Source organism: Homo sapiens, chromosome 7, assembly GCF_000001405.40.
Source record: "Homo sapiens chromosome 7, GRCh38.p14 Primary Assembly".
Lineage (NCBI taxonomy): Eukaryota > Metazoa > Chordata > Mammalia > Primates > Hominidae > Homo > Homo sapiens.
Window position 1 is genome coordinate 93,968,380 of NC_000007.14, and position 24,827 is coordinate 93,993,206.

A 24,827-nucleotide genomic window follows, 5' to 3' on the forward strand; every position below is an offset into this window, starting at 1 on the left:
AGGGAAGTAGGAACTTAATATTCATTAAGTCATTTGACATTCTTAACAATGTGCAGAAGATCATGCTTTGTGCAGAGTTCAAAATAGATAACAAATGCCTTCTTCTGTGGGAAAAACATGAACATCAATGTGTCTAAAGGGCTATTCAGTACATGTTTTGTATGCATCATTATTTGTATGCTTTATAATAATCCTCAGAGTTAGGCCTATTTTATAGATGAGAAGACTGAGCCTCAAATGTAACTTAGCCGAGGACTTATATACCTGCTAAGTTGCAGAACTGGTATGTGCACCCAATTATCTAAGAATCTAAAGCCCACATGCTTTTGTCACACTACACTCTCTTTCTTTTGAAATTTATAATCTGTTATCAAGGAGGGAGAACTTATATAAAGTTCAGAGAAGGTATATACACTTATACACACACATACACACATATATACAAAGTTCAAAGAAGGTGGAGATGAGTACAATATAGACAAATGTAATTGAAGAAGTTTTTGATTCTTATGAGTATTATACATATTTTAGGGGATCTGTGTTCTTTTCAATGTCTATGAATTTGACCATCTTTTCTTCTCACATTCTTCCCCATCCGTTCACCAGTGACTTCACTCTTCTGTGAAAGATGAGATAGAAACAGCTACTTTTCTCTAACAGCATAATTTATCTAATTGGTGTGATAGCAAAAGAATGAAAACTATTGGCTTGCAATAGGCAGATTAAGATGTGAAACGCTTGTGTCACTGGTTGCCCAATGACTTTGCCCTTCACTGGGTGAAAAGTGAGGAGTAAGAGGAGGAAGAATGAGAGGCACATTTTTCTTCTTGGGTCCAAGGAAATGCTCTAATCCAGTTTTAATGAAATTTCTGTCTTATCACTCTCTGACTTTTGAGTTCATTTATCAATTTGTTAATAACACAGAAAGAAGAAATATGTGATTCTTTTGTAACAGGGTAGTCCAACAATGAACAGCTTTGGGAAGGATCTGGCTTCCCTGGGGAAAGTGTTGCTTCCTTAAAGAATGCTCCCTGTCTAGTAAATAATTGTAACTTGGCAGTCACTCTCAAACTATCAATTTAACAAGTAAACTCACATTTTCCTACTCTATGCTGGTGGATATGAATAATCAGGAAGGAGACATAGATGCTGGACTTTTCCCCTAGATGCTGGACTTTTCCCCTAGGAGAGAAAGATTCATTTATGACCTGCTTTTTTTTTTGGAAAAGCAGAAGAAACCCAAATTATAATCCATAAGGTATTCACCTGAGCACATGCTGACTTCATGTAAGTATTTTTGTGCTTATTTCAGTTTACAACAGTCAGTGCAATCTCACACGGCATATATTTCTATATTCTTTATTTGTGGCTATTTGAATTATTCATATGTTTAATTTTTAGTCTCTTTATCCTTGATTCTTCAAGATTCTGGAAATGATAATTTGTTCTTTTCTCACCTGGTTTATGATGATTTCAAATGCCCTACTTGGTCTCATTGAATTTAGCTATAAATTTCAAAATTGAATTGCAGAAAACAATGTATACTATTTGAAATCAATCTTGGATAAGTCATAATTACCCAAATATTTATTAATTTGATGAATTTCTATATGCCTTTTTTGGTCTTCACAGAGAGAGTATCAATTGCTAAGTGTTTTTAGTCAGTGGCTCTTTGTAAATGAAATACCTAAATTCACAATACTTCATACAAAATGTGTTACATTAGAGTATTTGCATTAAAGATGTTTTACTCTGCAATAAAATTTTGTACAATCTAACATTCATGAAAGAGGGAAATAAGTGGATTTTGCAAAGAATATTCACCAAGACCTTTGTTTAATAGAGGGGAGAAAAAGAAATAATTAAATACTAGCAGAAAACAGGGTTGCCTCTTTGGGAAATGTACTCATTCAGGTAGCCCCTGGAACATTGGGTAAGTATCTCCTCTTGTCTGGGTAGGTGACAGTGTGTGGAGAAGCTAATGAATGCAGGGCCAAATTGCACCTCTTTGTTTGGTGGATTTTTCTCCATCTCCATTAGCTCTCGAGAAGAAAACACTTATTTGACCTTTTAAGTAGCTAGACTTCAAAATAATTTTAGAATTTGCATATTTTACGCATTTTTTTCTGAACCCTGAGCACATATAATGCAAATATATAGTCATAATTCTTACTCTGTTGCCTTGTTCTAAATAATGAAAGTATTAGAGTCAACTCTTTGAGACAAGGCCCATCTTACATTGACATCCCAAAAATGGGAATAGTGCTCCATAGTAAACAGTTTAAAAATATTATTTGGATTATAAAATGAATTAATTATATAAAGAGAAAATGTGTTCACAAATGTAATTGGGAATAAATGTGTTAAATATTACATAGAATCTGGTTTTAATCCAAAAACGACTCAAACTTATTAATTCGATTTGTATTTTAATTCAACCATTTAGTTTTTTTCTTTAAATATTTCAGAGTGTTAGTAATATACTAGCTGGAAGATGTAGCTAGATGGTAAATTGTCAGAATGAACATAGAAATCTTGGAAAAGACAGACACAGATGAAACAAATATATCTTGCCTGGTCCCTGAATAGGGGGACATGCTATTATCGAAAGTTTTAAGTAGCTGTGAATTACTTATAATAGCAAGTACTGAAGATTGTAATTTATGTTATTATGTTATTAAGCAAATTGCCTGACAGAAAATATTGCAGTATATTAAAACAACTTCTACTGCATCTAACATAAATTCAATAGATTAAAATATATACTGTATATACTGTAAATAATACTTAAGCAGAAATACCTATAGAATACAATATATAAATAGGCACCTTTGTTTCCCTTCACACTTCATTTAAAAGCCCAGACCCCCTTTTAACAATATATCTTGCTAAAAGCAATGTGCCCTTTTTGGTGAAACAGGTACCATATAATGAAGCTCAAATCTAATAGTCATAAATTGACTTACTGTTGTTAATGCATTAGCAAGTAATAAATCCAAGTCCATGCCATCAATACAGGAATTCTGTTCCTGCCTTAAAATTTGAGGACAATTTAAGTCTACAGAGTTTTTCTTGGAATAACAGTTAATGCTGAAATGAAAGTGGCATGCAAATCTCCCAATTCAGGAAGAAAAATAATCACAATATGCTTCTGCTGAATCTAAACAGCCCTACTTCCTTTCACAGTACCTTGTGAGCAGTCCTCTTAGGTGTCAGTAGTAGGCCTAGTAAACATTTTTTGTCCAAGGCTGTCCCTATGTGGCCCCACTTATGCTCACATTATGACTTCAGGATAATAATTAATAAAGCCCACTTTCACTCTCCAAAGTGTCTCGGTCTACATAATAAATTACATAGTTATTATATTATAGGTTAATGTAATACATATGAAATTGTATTAATGATATGGATTCATTACTAATGAGATTTAACTAAGAAAGTTTAAATTATATGGTAACTTTCCATGAAGTAATCTGAATTTTAAAGGTGCAGATAAATGCTTTATTAAATGAAATGCTTTTTGATATTGTACAGCTTTTTCCAGAAACTGCAAGCTTAAAAAAAAAAAAGCCATTGGATATGAAAAAAGAAGCATTCTTGAGAAAATTCCCTAAGGAGAATTTATTTTTTCTTAAAAAGGGGCTTTATTTGAGGTGTCAAGCTAAGATTGTGCTCCTTCCCACCTGGAGAATAACATTCGACATCAAATATTTGGCCAGAATTTTGCTATAGACATTAGCAAGTCATTCCTTTCATCTGTGATTGTATACGAAGTGTTAGCTCTAGAGTGTGAGCTGCCATCCATCAGAGACAACGTTTGCTTCTCCTGTGTAACAATGTCACAACACTGTAAGTTCAATAACATTGCCTAAGTAGTCAGGCAATGAAACCAATATGCATGAAATGCTATCATTGTCGTTGGCTTAAAGGCAAAATATGTTGAACCAAGGCTATTTTCTTATTCAATTAACATTTACAGAAAACCTATTATGTGCCACGCATCTTGACACAAATTTTTTATTTGTTCCTAATAACAACCTGTGAGGTATGTGTTACTTTCCAGATGGGGAAATAGAAAGCCAGAGAGATTAAGTGACTTTTTTAAAGTTACTTAGCTGGTAATTGATGGAAGGTTGATTCAAATCAAGGCTGATTGATTCAACATGTGAGCTCTTTCCGCCCCATTTCTGCTTACATCTCTGGCTCCAGACTTTGATGTTTGGCCAAGAAGAGACTTTTCAGAGTGGTAGAAAGCCATTTCCTACTAATCTAAAATAAGGATTCCTGCATGGAGATAAAATTGAATATTATTTTTTCCTATTATTTTTGATAGCCATTTCCTACTATTCTAAAATAAGAATCCCTGCATGGAGATAAAATTGAATATTTTTTTCCTATTATTTTTGAAACATCTTCAACACTTTCCTTAGGGAAAAAAAGTGGGTAGACAGCATCACTCGTATCTTTTTTTTTTTTTCTTCTATCATCTGCCCTTCACAATTCAATGGAGGAAACTGTACATTTCAGTGGGAAGATTCTATTATTCTACTACTGCAAGACAGCCTTATCTTCTGCATATCATTTATTTTTGAAGCTGTAAACTGGCTGAATTCTTTAGTCTTTCCAACTTTAAAACTAGAAATTTTGCTCCGAAATGAAAGAGTATCAGGAATACAAAGGAGAACAGGAAAATCTGAGACTTTTTTCATTTAAGATCAATGAATTATTTGGTTATACAGATATTTGAAGTATAGTTAACAGATATCAAAAAGAAGTCCTGGGTTGCATTCAGTCATGGCTGCCACAGATGTCAAAACTTCACATGTGGGATGAAAGATTGTCCACAGTATGGAACAAGAGAGTTTGCAGTTTTTAAGGATTCTGCAGTCTTACTACTAAGCAAAAGCCTGGCATTTTAGATCTCCTATAGCTGTTGAGCAGAATTGAACAGTCATTCTTGAATCATATTTACTACATTGCTAGCTGATGACTAAAGTAAAGGCTCAAAACTTCAGCTGTATCTAGGAAGGTTTTGGGATCCTCAGTTCCCCGAACTTTTTGAACTACAAAGTGTATATTATTCCCATCCACCAGAATTTAGCTCTGGGGAGACAAACTCTGGAGAAGGAGTTTTCATGAAATAGATTTTCCATGTGAATTACTTGAACTGCTGTATAAAGAACTCAGAAAAAAAAATGTGTATGCATACAAACCATACATTTTAAAAACCTAGTGACTACTGATCATGGGGCGAGAACACAGAAAGACAGATAAGAGAGGTCTATAGGCTTCCCATGTATACCTCAACACCTGGCCTCTGGGCCCTGTGATGAGAAGGCTGAAACACAAAGGAATCTGAACAGGGACACTGCATACAAATACTGAATTATATGCTACATAAAGGTTTTAAAATGCACCAGGCCTGGGAAGAACCCCAACTAGAATACAAACTGTAGCAAATGTATCTAACTGTATTAAAAATGAGTAACAGAACACTACAGGAGGTGTAAAAGAAGAACTAACTTATTTTGGAAAACAATATTTTGATTGAATAGTATGAGGCTAAAGACAAAAAGAACTGCACACAAATAATATACTTTCCTTAGTAAATTTGTTCCCAAATGGGTACAGATTCATATTTCAGAAGCTATTTTCTTTGTATGCTAGGGTTGAAAAAAATACATGCATATATTGAAGAAAATGAGAGTCAGTTTTCTCTTTGTCTATAATAGAAAAGTTATATATAAGAAAAGGGATAGCTAGAATAAACCCTGTAGTATTGGATTGGAATTGTAGATATCAATATGAATTCATCATTTTTAAAGATAAATACTGACATAAACTTAGACATATGTGTATGCAATAACCAGTATAATATATGTATTCTGAAACCATGTTCACTGACAGGTACTAAAAGTAGTGACACTCTGTTAGTAGTAAGCACACCTGTCACCCAGATTTTTGTTTCTAATACCTTTATCTAATAAAAGGAACCAGAACTCCTTGGAGATATAGTTGATTCCAAGGCTGGCACAGAAAATATACAAGATAAGACTTTAGCCCCATGCAGCAGCAGGAAGTACGACAGTGCTCAAAAAAGAATAGGGCATGTTGAAAGGGCACAGGAGCCAAATGGAAAAGATCCCAATGCCCAAAGCTAGAAAAATTTACAAAAAGAAAAAATGTAATTGGATTATAATCCATAGAATAAAGTAAATATCTGTGGTGCCATAGTGATAAAGATAAGTATTTGAGTAGATACATAAATGTAGGAGAAGAGGCAGCTCTTCTTTAGAAAAAGATTCCAATTAATAAGTAAAGAAGGAATGAGGGAAATGGAAAATCACCATTAGAACACCACTAATGAATGCTGAAATTGTTGGGTAAAAGTTTGAGGAGAAATAATATTTGCATTTGAAAGTAACTCTTACAAAATATTTATTAATTAAAAAAGAAATATAGTAACTTTAGAGTAGAGAAAACTGGGAGACACCACTTTTAGAAAGTGATCCAGGTCAACATAACCAATAATTAGATACATTGACATCATACATGATATACATATATTGACATGATACACTGAGAGGGGCATATCACTTCTGTAGTATTCTTGCCAAAAATGCATAATCTCAATCTAATCATGAGAAACATCAAATAGAACCAAATTGATGGAAATTCTACAAAATAGCTGACCAGGACTCTTCAGAAGTGTCTGTTGTATCTGATGTAACAGATCAGAGGAAACCATAAAGACATCACAACTAAATGAGATGTGAGATCCTGACTAGGACTCTGGAACATAAACATAACATTAAAAGAAAAATTGGTGAAATTTGAAAAATGTCTGTAATTTAATTAATAGTATTGTACCAATGTTAACTTCTTGGTTTTGACCATTAAAGCAACTGTATTTTTCTATTTTTATAACTTTTCTGTAAGTAATGTTCTTACAAAACAAGAAGTTTTTAAAAATTGAAATAAAATGTACTAGAATATTGAGAATAGCTATCTTTGGAAAGTGAAAGTGCAGACGATTTTTATTTTTTCCTTAATTTTGTTTTCCAAAATCTCTACAATGAGCATGTGATATTTAGAAAATGCATTACTATTTTTATTTTTGGCCAGGAAATCCCTTATGTATGGCTTTAGTTGTAAAAAAATTAACAAATCGTGTTTTAATTTTAAAAGATAATGCAAAAATGTTTATATGACGTATTAGAAAGTGTCTGTAAGCTTTAATAGCAAAGGACATTCCACACCAGTTAATGCTGTTTTTTGCATAGATACTTAAATTGTCATTAAGTCATCCTTTATGTTTTAATTACAAGCATACTGCTTACCATTTTTGAAAGCCGAGATGATCCAGATATAATGGGTATAGGTGGAAAATGCTACTTTCTCTTGAGTAATTGAAGAATGTCATGATGTTCTCTTTTAATATCATGCTCAATCACACCTGCCAGATAACGATTTTTAATTTTCAAAATATTATGAGACTATCAAATGTACTTGTTAAAAACTTACTTCTTTCTTGGAAGATTTGGAAGGCTTCAGAGTCATTATTTTGACATGTCATGATATAATTCTGCAGCTGTGATAGATGGCACTGAAAGTAAGCCTCCTTCTTTTTAAGCTTCTGGACAAATGCTGAGGAACAGTCAAAATTAGCAGAAGTAGGCTTTCACTGCTACTGGTGAAATCCCTGGAACCTGAAGGATCCACTGTAAAAACAGATGGAGATCTTAGTTTCTAAATAATTTGAAAAAACAAAACAAAACAACATTTAAAGTAGAAGTAAATGTACTCTCAGAAGAGTTACAGAAAAACTGAGCAGGTATTCAGAGAATTAATGGAAGGCTTATGTGATAGAAAGCTTTCTAAGTCATTATTTTATCCTGCTTCCCTCCAACCCCTTCACATCCAGAACTACTTTTCACAGGATACATTTTAAAGATATCTACTTATTGTGTGTGTGTGTGTGTGTGTGTGTGTAAACATACATTCAGCATCTGCAAAGCACAATAAAGCAAAACACAATAAAATGAAGTACATGTACTCACTTAAAATGGCACAATGACCTTTTAACATAAGAATGTTTGGTATTGTCATTTTTATTTAAACTAGTCAAGCTTGAACGCCGGCAGGATCTCTGAACAATAGTTCTCAGGTAAATAAAAAATGTAATTTTATTGTTCTTTAAAAATAGCAATGAACATAGCATTACAGTGCTGCTTTTTTGCCTCATATTTCATCTCACCTTGACCACATGTGGTTAATAAAAGAGTACTTATTATTATTTTTTAAATTTTATTTCAATCGTTTTCGGAGAATAGATGGTGTTTGGATATACGCATAAGTCTTTTAGTGGTGATTTCTGAGATTTTGGTGCACCCATTACCTGAGCAGCATACACTGTACCCAATGTGTAGTCTTTTATCCCTTACTACCCTCCCACACTTTCCCATGAGTCTCCAAAGTCCGTTATATCATTCTTATGCCTTTGCGTCCTTCTGGCTTAGTTCTCACTTATAAGTGAGAAGAGAAGATATTTGGTTTAACATTTGTGACTTACTTCACTTACAATAACAGTCTCTGACTCCATCCAGGTTCCTGCGAATGCCCTTATTTTGTTCCCTTTTATGGCTGAGATATATCTATATCTATCTATATCTATATCTCAATCACATTTTCTTTGGATACTCCAACCTGAGCTCTTGTATCTTCCTTGTTAGTCAGTCATAATCTGGATGAAGTTTCGTCTACTGTGCACAGATCTTTCAGCATCAAAGATGTTGGAGGGGCTGGGTACGGTGGCTCATGCTTGTAATCTCAGCACTTTGGGAAGTCGAGGCAGGCAGATTACTTGAGGCCAGGAGTTTGAGATCAGCCTGGCCATCGTGGTGAAACCCTGTCTCTACTATACATATGCAGAATTAGCAGGGCATGGGGCAGGCACCTCTAGTTTTTTGCCTGCCAGTCTAAGTCACTATTTAGCCTTCATTGGCTTTGTTACAGAATGCATTCTAATTAGATAAACCCCAAACAGATGGTACAGATTACGGGTAGTAGCTCTGTATAAGTGAAACTAATTTGAGAAAAAATAAAAAATTGGTTTATAAATGAATCCTCATATTTTAAATTATTTACTTAATAGGATTTAAGGATTAGAATAAAAACCCTGTACTTTGACCATTTACTCACTTCTATCTGGCACAAGATTCAGACCTCAGCTCTCCGTTTCTCTCTCTCTAGCTCTTATTCTTGGCCACGGGACCAACCCTCACAGGGGCACTCTATGCAGAAGCTTCCTTCCTAAATTGGAACTCCCACTTTGACCACTCTCCTTTGTAAACAGAAATAAAACTGAATTCTGCATGTTGTCCCAGAGGCCAGATGCTTGTGTCAATCTTCCATTCTTCCAGCTTGAAAACATATCTGACACTTTCTTTAATGACCACCCCATCATATTTATTGACCAGAACCTGTGGAGTCTTTCTTTGTGACGGTTTCATTGAATCCTTTACCTGATTATATGCCACTTGCCCACTTAGGAACCTTCAATTCCCCTACGTGTACAGGCTCAAATTCAAGCTCCTTACTAGCATCTGAGGCCATAATCTAATGTTTCTTTTACTTAAACTCTCTGTCCTAGACTGGTTGTTATTGTCTCAAAATGTGGCATCTGCAACTTTGTTTCTTTTTTTTTTTTCCAGACAGGGTGTCACTCTGTTGCCCAGGTTGGAGTGCAGTGGCATGATTGGCTTACCACAGCCTCCACCTCTGAGGCTAAATGATCCTCCCATCTCTCAGCCTCCCCATAGCTGGGACTAAAGGCATGTACCATGATGCCCGGTTAATTTTGTATTTTTTTGTCGAGAGGGGTTTTGCTATGTGGCCCAGTCTGGTCTGGAGCTCCTGGGCTCAAGCAATCTGCCCACCTTGGCCTCCCAAAGTGCTGGCATTATAGGAGTGAGCCACTGTGCCTGGCCTGCAATCTCATTTTTAAGTCTTTGCTCAGATCAGCACTTCCACTTGGAAAGATCTCTCTGGTTCTCTTCATCTATCTCCTTCCTGCATTTCCTATACAATATTGCCCACGTTTCATTTCCCCCTTGATGCATTTCTCATTACATTATCATACATTGTTAGAGTTTCTGAACTCTGTAAGAATTTGCCTTTACTAGTCTGTTGGCTTGTTTGACTATTTTCATATGCTTCCTTTTTCTATTTAATATCTTGTTTAAATTTTCAGTTTATAGATTACTTAAAGTAAAAAACTATGTGCCCATTTCCCAAGTTTTAGTAATTTAAAAATTACTGTAATATGCAAACTTACATCATGAAAATTAGGATATCAGTCAGAGTTTGATGTTAGAAAAAATGGCTTTGACAAACTTTTACAGAAAATGAATCTGTTTGAAGGGAGTCCACACATTCATTCTGGAAGCTTGGAGATCAAGAATAAAAAATAGATAAGGACAAATGAAGGTTGGCCAGAGAATAAGAAGTATAGCTGGTCATGGTTCAAGAGCACCCAATCACTGGAGCTGCCACTAGTGGACACTTAAGCTACTGTCTTCTCGTGTCTACCAGACTGTTCAGCACTAAATGCTCAAGGCCTCTGCCACTGGATGCCACACCTATCCCTGCAAAATAATTGATGCTGCTGCTTCTGCCACTGATAGTTTTTCAGATTCCTGAATCTTTGGAAGTCCAGTTGGTGGTATCCAATTGGTCAAGTCTGCATTCTGAGCCTACATCTGGCTTTCAGGAAGACAGGAAGGGAGTATCTTCAATCCCTTTGGCTTCTGGAGTGGGAAGGGATACACACACAACTAGGGAATGTCTCATAATAGGAAGGATTGTCTGGATGCTGGGTACATAAAAATAACCAATGTCTAACACACAGGCCTAGCTGTGCCACTGTTCAGTGCAATGGCAGGGATTTACCACCAACTTAAAATGTTTTATACATACTTTTGTATAAAAGTATATTTTTATTTCCTGAAAGCAGTGACATTTTCCCATAAGTGTCATATCATAAATTAGTGAACTTTAACATTCTATCCTAATTTGCATAACCTTGTCTGCCTTTAAACATGACTGCAAGATGGGAATGGTAGTGTCAGCAAGAACCTTCCTTCTCCCCATGACACATCAGCAACCACATATGAACCAATTCTTTTTGTGAGAACTTCAGAAACTAACTGAGGGACTCCTGCACTCCAGCAAGCATGAGACCGGCACATTGAAGCCAGTAAGAAAATTCGACTCTCTTTCTCACCATAATCCCCACCCCCAGCATACTGCCATATGATTGGGAGGAAGTTTCCATCTCCCAGCTTCTCCCTGGGGAGTTAAGGAAAGGACTGGATCATATATCCAATGTTCTAATTCTTCTGAGGGTTGCTCAGGGAACTGGCTTCTGTCTCACTGGCCTTAGGTTCTGACTAGACTCAATGTACTCTAGATGCTGGGAGCCACTGAGAAAGAACAAAAACAGTGATTTAGTGCAGCCCACATGCACTTGCCATCGCCCCTCCACCTGGCTTGGTGCAGAGCAAGTGGTCAAAAAAACCCAGATTCCAGCTTCTCCCTGGGGAGGGAAAGAGTTGGGCCATGTGAGCAACATTCCAAATTTTCCTACCTACAAGAAATAGATAAATTCCTAGAAACCTACAGTCTACCAATACTGAATCATGAAGAAATGGAAAACCTGAACAGATCTATAACTTGTAAAGAGATTGAATCAAGAATCAGAAATCTCCCAACAAAGAAAAGCCCAGGACCAGATGGCTTCACTGGTGAACTCTACCAACATTTAAAGAATTAATGTCAATCCTTCTCAAACTCCCTCAGAAAACTGAATAGGAGGAAGGCTTCCAAATCCATTTTGCAGGACCAGCATTATCCTGACACCAAAGCCCAAGACACTATTTTTTAACAACAACAACAACAAACAACTATAGGCCAATAATCCTGAAGATCATAGATGCAAAATTTCTCACCAAAAACCTAGCAAATTAAATTTAACAGCATATTAAAAGAACCATACACCAGGATCAAGTGAAATTTATCCTTGGGATTCAAGGGTGGTTCAACATACAAAAATCAATTAACCTGATACACAGTATTACCAAGATGAAGGATAAAAATCACATGAGAAAAGCATTTGATAAAATTTAACACACTTCCATAATAACTCTCAAAGAACTAGCAGTAGAAATAAATTGCTTCAACATAATAAAGGCCATACATGGAAAGCCCACAGCCAGCATTATATTCAATGGGAAAAGTTGAAATATTTTCCTTTAGGACCCAGAACAAGGCCAGGATACCCACCATCGCCACTTCTATTCAACATAGTACTGGAAGTCCTAGCGAGAGCAATCAGGCAAGGAAAAATTTTTAAACGCATCCATATCAGAAAGGAAGAAGTAAAACTGTCTGTGTTTGCTGATGATGTGATCTTATATATGTTGGAGTTCTCATTTTACCATTTTTTTTTCTTTGAAGTGAAAGGCAAAGAAGTTTTTATTGCAAAGCGAAAGTACACAAGAGTTCAAGTGTAATTGGGAAAGTCGCCATTTACGTATCTTAGTATCACTTTTAGTTTTCTGTTTTTTGTCTCTGGGCTTTATTTTAGACAGTTTCTTCAATTCTGCCATCTGGAGATTTCCCCTTGTTTCATTTATTCCTATATGAATTTTTTGTTAATATTTGTAGTATTTTATCTGTCATTTCTATGTGTTTGCTGTTGGGGGTGTTTCTACACAAATTCAGCCTACCTTTGTAAATTTCTCCTAACTGCTTTTCACAGTGACCAACTCTTCCTGGTCTGCCCAGGATTTTCCCAGTTTCAGCACTGGAAGTCTCATGCCCTGGGAAATCCCTCAGTCCTCTACAGACTGGGATGATTTGTCATTGAATTGCTTTTTATCATTCCACATTGTGAGAGAAGCAAAAGGTCATTAATTGTTTACATTACTTCAGTAGTGGGTTGTCTATGAATTCTTATAAATAGCAAAAAGCTATCATGTTCTCCCAAGTAAAATCTTTTCCAAGTACTGTTTTGGCCCACACTTCCTGAAAAACAAAGCCTGATTCAAAAGCTTATTGGGAAGTAAATTTGGGGAAAACAGCAGCAAGGCAGAGAAGAAAGGGGACCAAAATGCAAAGAGAGCATACTACTTAAGCTGTCCACAGCCTCAAAGGAAAAACAGTAGGTTGCTGATTCTCATATAAATTCTCCAGAAGGGCAATTCCTGGAATTCAAGTAATGTATCAGCTGGCTGCTGCTGTCTCTTTGTCTTTCATTGGTTGAAGTCCTCCTAGGAGTCATTAAATCCATTGTACTTCCAGGTAGCATTCCCGGGCAGCCACTGGAGAAGTAACACCTTCTCTTGGTCCAATCTGGTGATGGAGCAGACATTGCAGTCAGTAGTGCCAATGGGAACTGGTCCAAGGGTGTGCATGGCAGTGGCAGAAGTCACGGCATTAAACTATAAGACCAGTGGGCAGTGCCAGGATCCTTCCAGCTGGGAAGCAAAGAAAGCGGAGGATTGTGGGGAGAGTGGATAGGCGAAGCTGAGTAGCTCTGGTATGACACAGAGTCTGGATCTGATACAGATATTAAATAAAAGCTACTCCCTCATCCCACCACACACCTATTTGCACCTGCTTTATTGCTTAATTGTAGTGATGAATGTAAACATCTTTAGCTATGTCATAATCTGCTAAAGGCAGGATTTTATATGTATTTTTCTATGATATCTAGTAGACTATTGGCAGAAGCTTAATAAATATTTTATGAAATCATGGCACACTGCTTGAAATATAGATATATAGATCAGTCTATAATTATGAAGCTCATTGTACTATGTGACTTTCTAGCAAATAGAAACATAGTATAAGATGATAGTTCCAATGGTCTTGGAAGCCAGGAATTCTCTCACTCTGCCATCCCATTATAATTGACAACTCTCAGTCATAAACAAATTTACCTATCTGGGTGTCTAGAACTCTGTAATTTGGTGATTCTGGTTCAGCTGCCCCTTACTTTATGAACTTATTTGCTCATTCAGTCCATTGAGTTTCTACTATGTGCCAGATACTATGTTGGGCTTGGATAATAAAGATTAAATGTGTATACATCCTGTCCTTGCCCTCAAGAGACTGAAGGTATGGTTGGGAATTTATTCTCCACCTGGAATTCTCCGTGTCTTTGTGCCCATCAAATGTCCTTCTTCTTGTAAGGACATTAGTCCTTGGATTAGAGCTCACCCTAATCCAGTGTGGCTTCATCTTAACTAGATTATATCTCCAAAGACACTATTTCCAAATAAGGTCACATTTTGAGGTTCTGGGTACACAAGAAATAATAATAATTCTGAACAAATAATACAGAATTTTGTCCCTTATCTCCAAGAAAGGGGATAGTTTTGCTTGTTTGTTCAAATTGTGCTTAATACTATCAACACCTCTACATATTTCAGTAAGAATAGTTATTTTTATTCTGCTTGAGAAAAGAGTATGTACATTTCTCATAATACGAAGGTTCTGATGTTCTTTAGCACTGACGTAATTGACCCTACACTAGGGAAAGAACAGGGCAGATAAGGCATTCTTCAGACAATTCCCTCTTCTAGATCCAAAGTTGATCCTGATGCCAAAAAATCAGTACCAGAAGACCAGAGGTGGCCCAGGCCAGGAAATAAGAGAGTCTGGGAGATTCCCATTTTAGCATTCACTCAATGATTAAGGCATGACCCATGGCTTGTTGATTATTTTTGACCTGTCATTGTCTATTTTCCTATCACTGATAGAAAAAGGTATTTGGTGTCACATTATTCTTCCCAATTCTAGTTGGAACACATCCTCCCTTTCACTTCTTCATGGAGTACGTCTCTATTAATTATTTCTTCATGCCATGACAAGATCAACTCTTGTCTTTAAAATATTATTGCATTGGTGGTTCACCTCAATATATTGAATTCCCTAAAAAGACATGAACTGGTCTCTGATTCATGGGGGAAAATCTCCAAAAGTTGCAATATTTTAGGGGATTAAAATTTATAATAATTCCTCTGTGTTTAAGGACACATAACATGTTTTCTGCATCAATGGTTAAGTTTGATATACATTCATGGACCTAAAAAAATTTTAGGACCAAATTAAGATGAGCCATGACTCTGTACAAAATTGTAGTGGGAAAAAAATGCTTACAGAATTACACTATATCAATTGGAAAGGGTTAGTGTCTTATTAGTGGCTCCTCATTTCAGAATATTTTCCTTGATTTCAGCCTCATTCAGGTTGCTGCTTCTACTAATCTGGGTGCATTATTTACCCAATTCAATTCTTCAGTCATGCATTGCAAAAAAGAAAAAAAAAGGAAAAGAAATAAAGTCTTTTGAGCAAATATTCCCTAGAATATCCACAGAGCTTGACTGCATTGGCAATAGCTGGCACTTAGGAGAATGTGGTAGCCAGAGCCCTGTATTTTGCTGTCTAGAATCTCACTCTTGTGCATCTGGATTTTCATCCCAGGCACTCCTAGGCAACCCATGATGCTGCAATGACTGATGTCTTAGTTTCCTAGGGACTCTAACAAATTGGTAGCTGAAAACAACAGAAATTGATTATCCCACAATTCAGGAGGCTAGAACTTCAAAATCAAGATGTTGGCAAGGCCATGCTCTTTCTGAGAGCTCATGGGTAGGATCCTTTCTTGCCTTCTCCTAGCTTCAGGTGGTTGCTGGCAATCCTTGGTGTTGCTTTGCTTGTAGGCATATTGCTCAATCTCTGCCTCTGTCTCCACAGGGCATTTTCTGTGTCTCTGTGCCCATCAAATGTCCTTCCTCTTGTAAGGACATTAGTCATTGTATTAGGGCTCACCCTAACCCAGTGTGGCTTGATCTTACCTAGATTATATCTGCAATGATGCTATTTCCAAATAAGGTCATATTTTGAGGTTCTGGGTGTACATGAATCTTTAGGAACTATTATTCAACTCAGTACATTTGAGAAGAGTTGGTGGACAACTACGTCAAACCTTTTAGTACTGTTACAATGTCATTCTGCCAAATAGGTGAACATTAATTGTAAGTTATTTGAGATGAAATTCCTTCTACTGAAGAAGGCCACTTTCTTTCCTGGAAATTGGATGAACCAGAAACAAAGATAAATGTCGTGGGTTAAAAAAAAAAATGTTGTAATTAGGTGGCAAAACAGCACTGATTAGCTTATCATTCTTTCCTTTTGTGCTTCAGTATGCCTACTTGTATAATGAACTACAGAATAGCCTCCAGATTGTGTTTGCAAATGCTTGATGGAAATTTAAATCAGAGCACTATAAAGCATTGCGTGATTTAAAAAAAAGTCTTCAAAGAAAATTCAGATATAAATATGGCTAAATGAATAAATATTTCTCCCTAGAAAACTTAGTCATGTATTAGTACTATAATCCTCACAGGACAAAAGAAAATGTCAGATATCATGGAGTTACACAGATTTCTTTATGTCTAGTACAGTCTCTAGCCAAATTCAACTGCTGATTTACAAATCAAATTCAGAAGCTAGGAGATTAAAATAGTTTGCTTTTTCAGAAGCTATAAAGAATATATATTCTCACTCTATATTTTGAAAATTCAGAATTTTTAATCAGGCTCAATTCCTAGCAAAACAGTCTTACTATCCCATTCTCTCACCTCTATATCTCTGCCCTCCCCCACACTGTCTCTGCTACCTTCCCTAACCATGCTCCCAACTCCAGAAAGTTAGAAATATGGCTACTGTTGCTGGTCCTCTTTCAACTTCATAATCTACCTTGAGTCTGGGAAGACTTTCTATAAAGTTTCATGCTGAGCTACAAAAACAATGCTGTGTGTGATTAAGAATGCAGGCTTTGGAGACAGACTGCCTGAATTCCAAACTTTATGTGACTTTCGGTTGTTTAATGGCTCTGGGCCAGAATTTTATGTGTAACATAAGGCTATTACTAATACTCACCTTAAGGATATTATGCAGGTTAAATGAGCTAGGTTACATAAAGTGTTCAGAACTGTCTCTCACCCAATAAATGGTTATTATTATTAATCTGTGTGATGCTGGTATATAACAGAATAATTCAAACTAAATAATGCATTCAAACTAAACTATTCAAACTAAATAGTGGAGAGTTCATATTCAAACTAAACTGTATTGTAATGTATTCAAACTATATTGTAATGTATTCAAACTGTATTGTAATGTATTCAAACTAAACTGTGTTCAAACCAAATAATGGAGAGTTTTAAGTACAGAACATCACCTCATATACTTAATATAAATGTGCTTTTAACAGAGCAATGATCCAGCTCTTGTGAATGGTAGGTTGAGCTCAGTGGAATAGGACCCAATGAATATGGACACTCCAACTAAATTTCAGGTTCAGATTGTCCCACAATAAGACACAATCATTCAAACAACACCCTCCAAGCTGATAAGCAATTAAGGGATCAAGGCAGAAACACACAGCCAAGGACCTAGAGCATCTTAGAGTTGGTGGTTGTAAAGTTAGAAACGGACCACAGTGGTCCTCCTGTGATACTGAGATTTAAATGTTTTTATCTTTTTTCCTGCTCCCCTCACCCCATTCTTCTTTCCTTACCATTTCTGTTATCGTCTCAGCTAAAGTTAATGGTTAGAAATAATGAGAGTTGATGGTAGCCAGACCAGAAAAACAAATCTGTTCGGTTTTTGTTATTCGACCTATGTGCATCCTCTTGATTCAATTAGTTCTCAAGTATCTCTCAATTATACCTGTGAACATGTGCAGGACAGAAACTTGAATTTATAAAATAATGTTTGAATTAAATGGTATCTCATTTGCAATTCAAAATTCTATAATCCAGGGAATAGACTGGAAAGTTTTAGCTCTGAAAATCCATGGTAGACCTAAAGAGCTGAGTTTCTAAGTTGCTAATATTTATCACTTGCCTTTCACAAATGAGAATGGATTGCCTGTTCTGAAAGTTGGAAACAAAAACTCTTTTCTCTGATTCCCTTATATCAGCATAACAAACATGAAGAAAGGTAATGACTGCATCATCAATGGCAGCAAAATGTGAACTACCCACAGATACTAAGCTAACTAGGTGTGCCTAATTGCCAACAGTAGGGATATGCCCCGCCTGTCACTTGAATACGTTCTTAATTTATGTGCCACTGAAATTCCCTGGTAAGATGTCACCACTTACATTGTGGGCTAAGTGGATTACACATCTTGCTGTAGGGCTTTGAGTGAAATGCAGACTTCTTGGCTAAGGTCAACAATGGAAAACATATATAATGGTGGTCCCATCAGATTAACTGGAGCTGAAAAATTCCTATCCCCTAGTGATGTTGTAGCCATTGTAACATTGCAAAAATTCCTATAATCTAGTGATGTAGCTATTGTAACATCACAGTGCAATGCATTACCTTTTCTATGATTAGATGTGTTCAGATACACAAATACTTCCCACTGTGTTACAATTGCCTACACTATTCCGTATAGTACATGCTATACAGGTTTGTAGCCTGGAAGCAATGGGGTACACCTCATAGCCTAAGTGTACAGTAGAACATACCATGTAGGTTTGTGTACGCACACTCTAGGATGTTCTCATAAGGACAAAATCAATCACCTAACAATGCATTTCTCAGAATGTGTTTCTGAAACAGACATAGAAAAAAAAAAAAGGGTTTTTTTGTTTTTGTTTTTTGTTTTTTTAATCTAGGCTTTCAGGAATGAAATGCCTAACTCACCGGATCGACTTGGGTCAGAGATACTGATAAACCTCTCATGCCTTGAAATTGCAGTGGAAAGCAAGTTCAGCCACTTGCCGCTTGAGAAGCCGAATACACAAGAGGTGAGGTATAGTGGAAGGAAAGCAGCTTTATTAATCAAATGCCGGCAGTTGAGGAAATGGCTAGGTTTATGCCTCTACAAAACCATTTCAAATTTTTGGGCTGACTGTAGGGGTTTAAAAAGAGAAACTTGCAGGAGTTGTGCAAGGTGCAGTTCTGCATGTCTTGTTCCAATGGCTATCTTGAATTATTGTCTACCTGGACAGAATCCAAGCTGGCATCATCTTCACTGTGGCTGGGTCATAGATTATCCCCTCTGAGGTAATTTCTAGGTGGGGGAGAGTTCTACAACTGGGTTTCCGTATCTGGTTTGCTTCTAGAGTAGCCCCGGGAGCTTCTAAACAAGCATATCATTGAATAAGTGTGCATGGTGCTAGGGAGTGTCTGGTGGGAAAGGGAGAGAAACAGAGTTGTAAAGTGCATTTCAAGGCTATATTCTGAGTTTAGAGAAAAAAAGTTTTTAAGTGCATTTTAAAGCTAAGATACTTGATTACAAAATGTGAATTTTGATGGAAGAGGAAGAATATTAAACAGCTTTCCTCAGTTGTTCTTCCACTTGTGCCTAAGTGGCATCCATACTTGACCCTGTAGACATGGCATTCAATTTTAACTCATCTTCCCTCAGCTTTAAAGTAGCGAAAATCATAAGAAGAATTTTAATTTAGCAATAATTTTTGGTCCCCAATTAATCTAATGGCTAAAATATTGTACCTCTAATACTTAAAGAAGCTCAGCTAGTAAGTAAACTTGGTATGTTATTAATCAAGCCATATATTTTTATTAGGGGCCTTTTATGGTCTCAGCACTGGAATTTTAGTGAGAGGTGATTAAAAAGATATGTTCTCTAGCAGAAAAGATGAAAACCAAAGCATCAATTTATTCAGCAAACACTTGTTGGGATCTACTACTGTGCCAAGTGCTTAATGGAAAACACAGGTGTTTAACATAAGGTCCTTTATGTTGATACACACCAAATATGTCTTTCCTAAATGAATTTTATGTTCTTTATTATTAGGAATTCATATCTCTAAAAGAATTGAAACACTGTTTATGTGCATAGGCCATCAAACACCACAGAGATATCTTTTGAAGACGTTAACAGTTTAAAATTCCTCACTGGTGAAGAAAAACATGAGTTTTACATAGCAGATGCTACAGTTTAAGATGGATGTATGTGTATAACCTCTCTAGGGAAGTACTAGAACAAAAATTTAAGTCATGAGTAAATATGCATGCTTATATTAAGAAAACCCATCTTGAGTTTACCTGGCATGGATTAGTACCAGTAGGAATTGTTTAATTAGTAATTAATTAAATTTTCTGAAAACATACATCATTTCATTACTAGAAACAAGAGCAAAACTGCATGTTGAATAAAGCAACACTCGTACACTTAATTAAAAAGCAAATAAGTTAACATATAATATTTTCATACTGCCCATCTGCCCTTAGAAGGTCTACATCCTCCGGAAAAAGCTGAATATAATTTAGGTAAAAGACTATATTAATACAAAAAGGACTGAAGTTTAACTTTCTCCTGTCTCTCCTTCCTTCCTTTTCATTTTTGCCAACACACATTTCACTTATATTAAAACTTATTCCACCACAACTTCCTTGTGATTAATTCTAAGACACACAGTGGTAGAAAAAAGTTAAGCAAATATATATATAAACATATAAATATATATATATACATATATAAAAGATATATAAATATATAAAATATATATATATATACTGTTGTTGTTGTTGTTTGTTTTTTTGAGACGGAGTCACTCTGTCACCCAGGCTGGAGTGCAGTGGTGCGATCTCGGCTCACTGCAACCTCTGCCTCCTGGGTTCAAGCAGTTCTCCTGTCTCAGCCTCCCGAGTAGCTGGGATTACAGATGCCCGCCACCACGCCTGGCTAATTTTTGTATTTTTAGTAGACACGGGGTTTCATCATGTTGGCCAGACTGGTCTTGAACTACTGACCTCAAGTGATCCATCTACCTCGGCCTTCCAAAGTGCTGGGATTACAGGCGTAAGCCACCGTGCCAGGCCGAAGCAAGTATATTAAAATCACTCTTAAATTCAAATATTAGAATGCTGTTATTCTATGAAATAGATTTGTAGTTTCTTTTTTAAAAAAAAATAAATTTAAGTTTTTTAAAGTTTAGAGAGAGGATTCTGTGAAACTGCCCTAGGGTGGTTGCTAGCCATGCCCAAAAGGTAGATTCAGATTACACTGTGTGTAAGTGCAAGTGAACTAAACTTTGCAATTTGTCTTGTCCCATCTGTTACAAACTTCACAGTAGGGAGCCTGGCATTGTCAGTTGCCTTAAGTGACCGGTTGTGAATGCAAACAAAATTTGTGTGTACTTTTCTAGTTTTTTGCTAGAGTCAAAAATACATCACGTTCTTGGTGCTCAGTTTTCACTGAGCCTGTGGAAATAGGGTTTATGGCAATTTTGAAGACAAAAGAGTGTGTAACCAATAGAAAGAATGTTTTCTATATCCCCATTGATCTGGTTTAAAATGCTCTCTGTGTGAATCTAAAACTATTTTAGAAATAGTTTAAAATTAAATTTAAATTATTTAGCCATGAGAAATAAATGCAGACAAAGAGTTTAAGGAAGCTGACTAGCTCATACCATTCAGAAGTTTGTCTTTCAAGCAGTAACCTAGAAGATAATCCATTAATTATGAAAATAATTTTAATCATGTGGTATGGATATCTTTAATAGACATCATCATAACATATTTGGACTCCTTGAAATTGTCTTGTGTGTGAACAAAACAAACTCAATTTGCCTTTTACAGATTTTAAATAATTTTGAAATAAGTTAAATATAAATATATATTAATGTAAAATTAACATATTAAAAGATCTTTGAAGAAACTAAGCATTAAATCTGTGTATAATCAGACTAAAGCATTTTATTCCAGTAACTTTTCTGAAATACAAATTACCTCACATAAAACTCATGTTCTACTTTCCTTAAAAATAAGACACTTTATCTTATGTGCTTTAAAGCAAATGGATTATTAAATAATGTAAAAGCTTAATAAATTACCAGCTGGTCGAACTATTTATTAATTAATGAGATAAACTTGAGGAGAAAGCAATAATTATAAATATTCTTTTAAAATGTAAATTGATGACCTGACAAGGTTTTTCATTATAAATATATTAATATCTGTTGTATATAGACATTTTTATGCTATGTATTTCATTTTCTCCTGCTCATTTCTAAATTAATTACAGGCATTAGAGAAGCTATAAATACTAAAAGTCAGATTCAGCTGTCTGCTTTCAAGTGTATCACACCAAAATCATCGATCTTTGAGAAAACATAGTAGGACAATTCTTTACATAATTGTATAATTATAACCCATGTTGAAATTAGCAAAGTCAAAAGAAAACATTAAACAGTTTTTCTTTTCTAAATGTCATAAAGACTTTGTAGAATACTTATATTTATAATGGGTAATGTGGTTACATTTTGCATTACACTTCAGCTACTAATGTTATAAATGATTAAGCTTGAATGAATTTTGGAGTCTCACATCTAGTATATGCTTGTTTTTTTTTTCGGTCAGAAACATTTTATGCTTATTTCTTTCTCTTCATTTTGAAGATTAAGGAAAGATTACTTTAAGACTTGAACTTGGCACTTTGCATATCTCTTTGGTTCATGCAATAGTCTTTCCAAGGCTTGTGAAAAATTCTTCTAAAAGGACAAGGTGAATTACTTGGCTAAGATACAGATGCCAATATATATACAAAGAGAACAAAGCTCTATGAAATGTACAGAAGGATCCTGCTCTCCTGCTTGAACATTTAACTGAAAGGAAAAGAACGGAGGAAGCCAGAGTAACAATAACCACATGCCTTTTCCATAAATGATTCTTGCACAGGATTTCAAATACCAGAAGATGGAAGGTTAATAAATGTAGGAAGATTTTATCCATACAAGTTGAGAAAAAGTTAACATATGTAAAATATGGAAATGATCTTCTAAGTGTCTATTGCCTTTGAAAGGTATCATTCTCAAGTTAATTCACCAGTTAATTTCATGTCATCTGAAGTTTCTCTATTAAAATTTAAGTAAGAGATTCTCATTTGGGAAACAACTTCTAAATATTTCAGAAACACTTACCAACATAACCACAGTGTACTGAATTTAGCTTGTACCAACTCAAGAGAGCTAATTGTGCATGTATATTCACAACTCTTGTGTTTCAGTGCTGTCACAATAGTGCTTGGAATCGAGTGTGGTGGGAGATTTTACAACACAGAAATAAAAAATTACTATTTTTAAATATTTTATTTAATTATTCCTATCAGCCTATGAGTATATTTCTATATTTTTATACAATTTTTATTCCTGTTTTACAAACAGAGAAACTGAGATGGAGAGGTCATCAGCCCAAAGTCATAGTGTGAATGGTGGAGCCAGGATTTATGCTCAGGCAGTGTAACTTCATAGCCTTTGGTCTTAGCCACAATGCTACTCTGCTTCCCAATAAATATTTAGTCAAAGTTTATTCATCAGTATAGAATGATGACATTATTTATTATTTATTGACTGCATAAACCCAAATTATCAAACACTTTTTCAACATTCTCTCAAAGAAGTAAATTCAATATATCTAACTTGAAATTTAGGAGCATTAAAAAATTAGGAAAACTATTTTATAGAACCAGAGTTTTTCATGGGGACAGGTGCTAGGGTTCTCTGCTCCAGAATTCTGATGCTTAAAATGTTGCATATTTGTTTTAGATGGAAAAAGAGGGTGCTGGCAGAAGGATCCCTGGTTGGGCAGCGACATGCCAGTGTGTCCAGAGGAGTTCCCTGCCTGCCAGGAATCTCAGCAGACACAGTGATGTGAAGGAGCAAGACAAAATGCCAGGTAGAGACCTACTTTAAATAGTACTTAGAAATAAAAATCATAAGAAATGTTGAACCATGCAGTGATGAGAATCACTTTTATACCACCCAAAATCCCTTTTCCTGAAATCTCTATCTGCTTGATGATACTGTCCACATTAAAATTTTTAAATATTTTACAAAGTACTTTCATAAAATAGCTAAACAATCCTGAAATCCATCCTTCTCTTGCCATCATTGGTTTTCCTAAGGCTTTGATATCCTCTACTTCCATTGTTGATTCTCCTGTTTTCATTTTTAAGTCATTTTCTTTGGCCTTCTGCTCTTCCCGTTTTTCACAACTTTAATTATTGACAATGATTTCTGAATCTCCCGTGAGCTCTGGTGTCACATACTTGACACAAAGTACAGTTAAAAACTTCTTGAATGAATGAGTCACTCTCCAATTGCCTGATGAAAATACCTACTTGGAGGTATTTCATCACCTTGAAGCCTGAAAACAACCTATTGTCTTGTCCTTAAAATAACTACCTTTTCTGAGAATTTCTGTTAATGGTAGTGAGAACCAACATTTATTGAGTGATTATCGCATACCAGGCACTTTACAACATATTATCTACTTCTCACAACTATCCTATGAAATAGATGGTGTAATGAAGAAATCAAGGACAAAAGCAGTGAGCAAGTTAAGGAATAGAGATATGAACCCAGGTCATCTAACTCAAACCAGTGCCTCTCCCATCACACGTCAGGCTTATCTGTTTAAGTCCCTTAACCACACTCAGTTCCGGTGGTTTTAACCTGTCAGGTAGAGGCCCAAATAATGACGAATGAAGCCAGAAAAAATAGAACCCAAACTGACAGGTTATTAGGGATGAACAAAAAGAATTGAAAACTCAGTAAAATCCAAGAAAATACATTCATAACCCAAAATATAAAGAATTAAAGAGATTTTTGAAATAGAGTCAAGATTTGCTTATTTGTTTGAATCAAGTTCCAACAATACAAATATTAACTTTGCTTGATTTGGGTTGGAATCTGAGTTGTCAGGACCATTTCTCA

The 24,827-nt window shown here is 35.6% G+C and overlaps 1 protein-coding gene and 1 long non-coding RNA gene across 3 annotated transcripts in view, besides 1 other annotated feature; one reads left to right on the forward strand and one right to left on the reverse strand.

The window, feature by feature from the left end:
- On the forward strand, positions 1 to 24,762 carry BET1-AS1 (BET1 antisense RNA 1). Its single transcript, NR_186701.1, has 3 exons — positions 1 to 1,287; positions 18,762 to 18,893; positions 23,658 to 24,762. It is a non-coding gene; the product is annotated as a BET1 antisense RNA 1 (long non-coding RNA).
- BET1 (Bet1 golgi vesicular membrane trafficking protein) overlaps positions 1 to 24,827 on the reverse strand; it is a 41,594-nt gene that overhangs the window by 5,618 nt on the left and 11,149 nt on the right. Inside the window, exons 5-6 of one of the 2 annotated variants that reach the window (NR_133908.2) lie at positions 7,525 to 7,721; positions 4,196 to 4,284 (exon numbers count right to left, since the gene is read on the reverse strand). The gene's annotated coding sequence lies outside the window, so the exon portion shown is untranslated. The remainder of the gene's footprint in view (positions 1 to 4,195; positions 4,285 to 7,524; positions 7,722 to 24,827) is intronic. The other variant, NR_133909.2, reaches the window with a different exon arrangement.
- Positions 20,708 to 20,912: a silencer, noted in NCBI's record as "fragment chr7:93618399-93618603 (GRCh37/hg19 assembly coordinates)". NCBI's record gives its function as "represses an EF-1alpha promoter that drives an FKBP-Casp9 reporter gene in an ReSE screen in HepG2 liver carcinoma cells {active_cell/tissue: HepG2}" and the evidence as "EXISTENCE:reporter gene assay evidence [ECO:0000049][PMID:32094911]".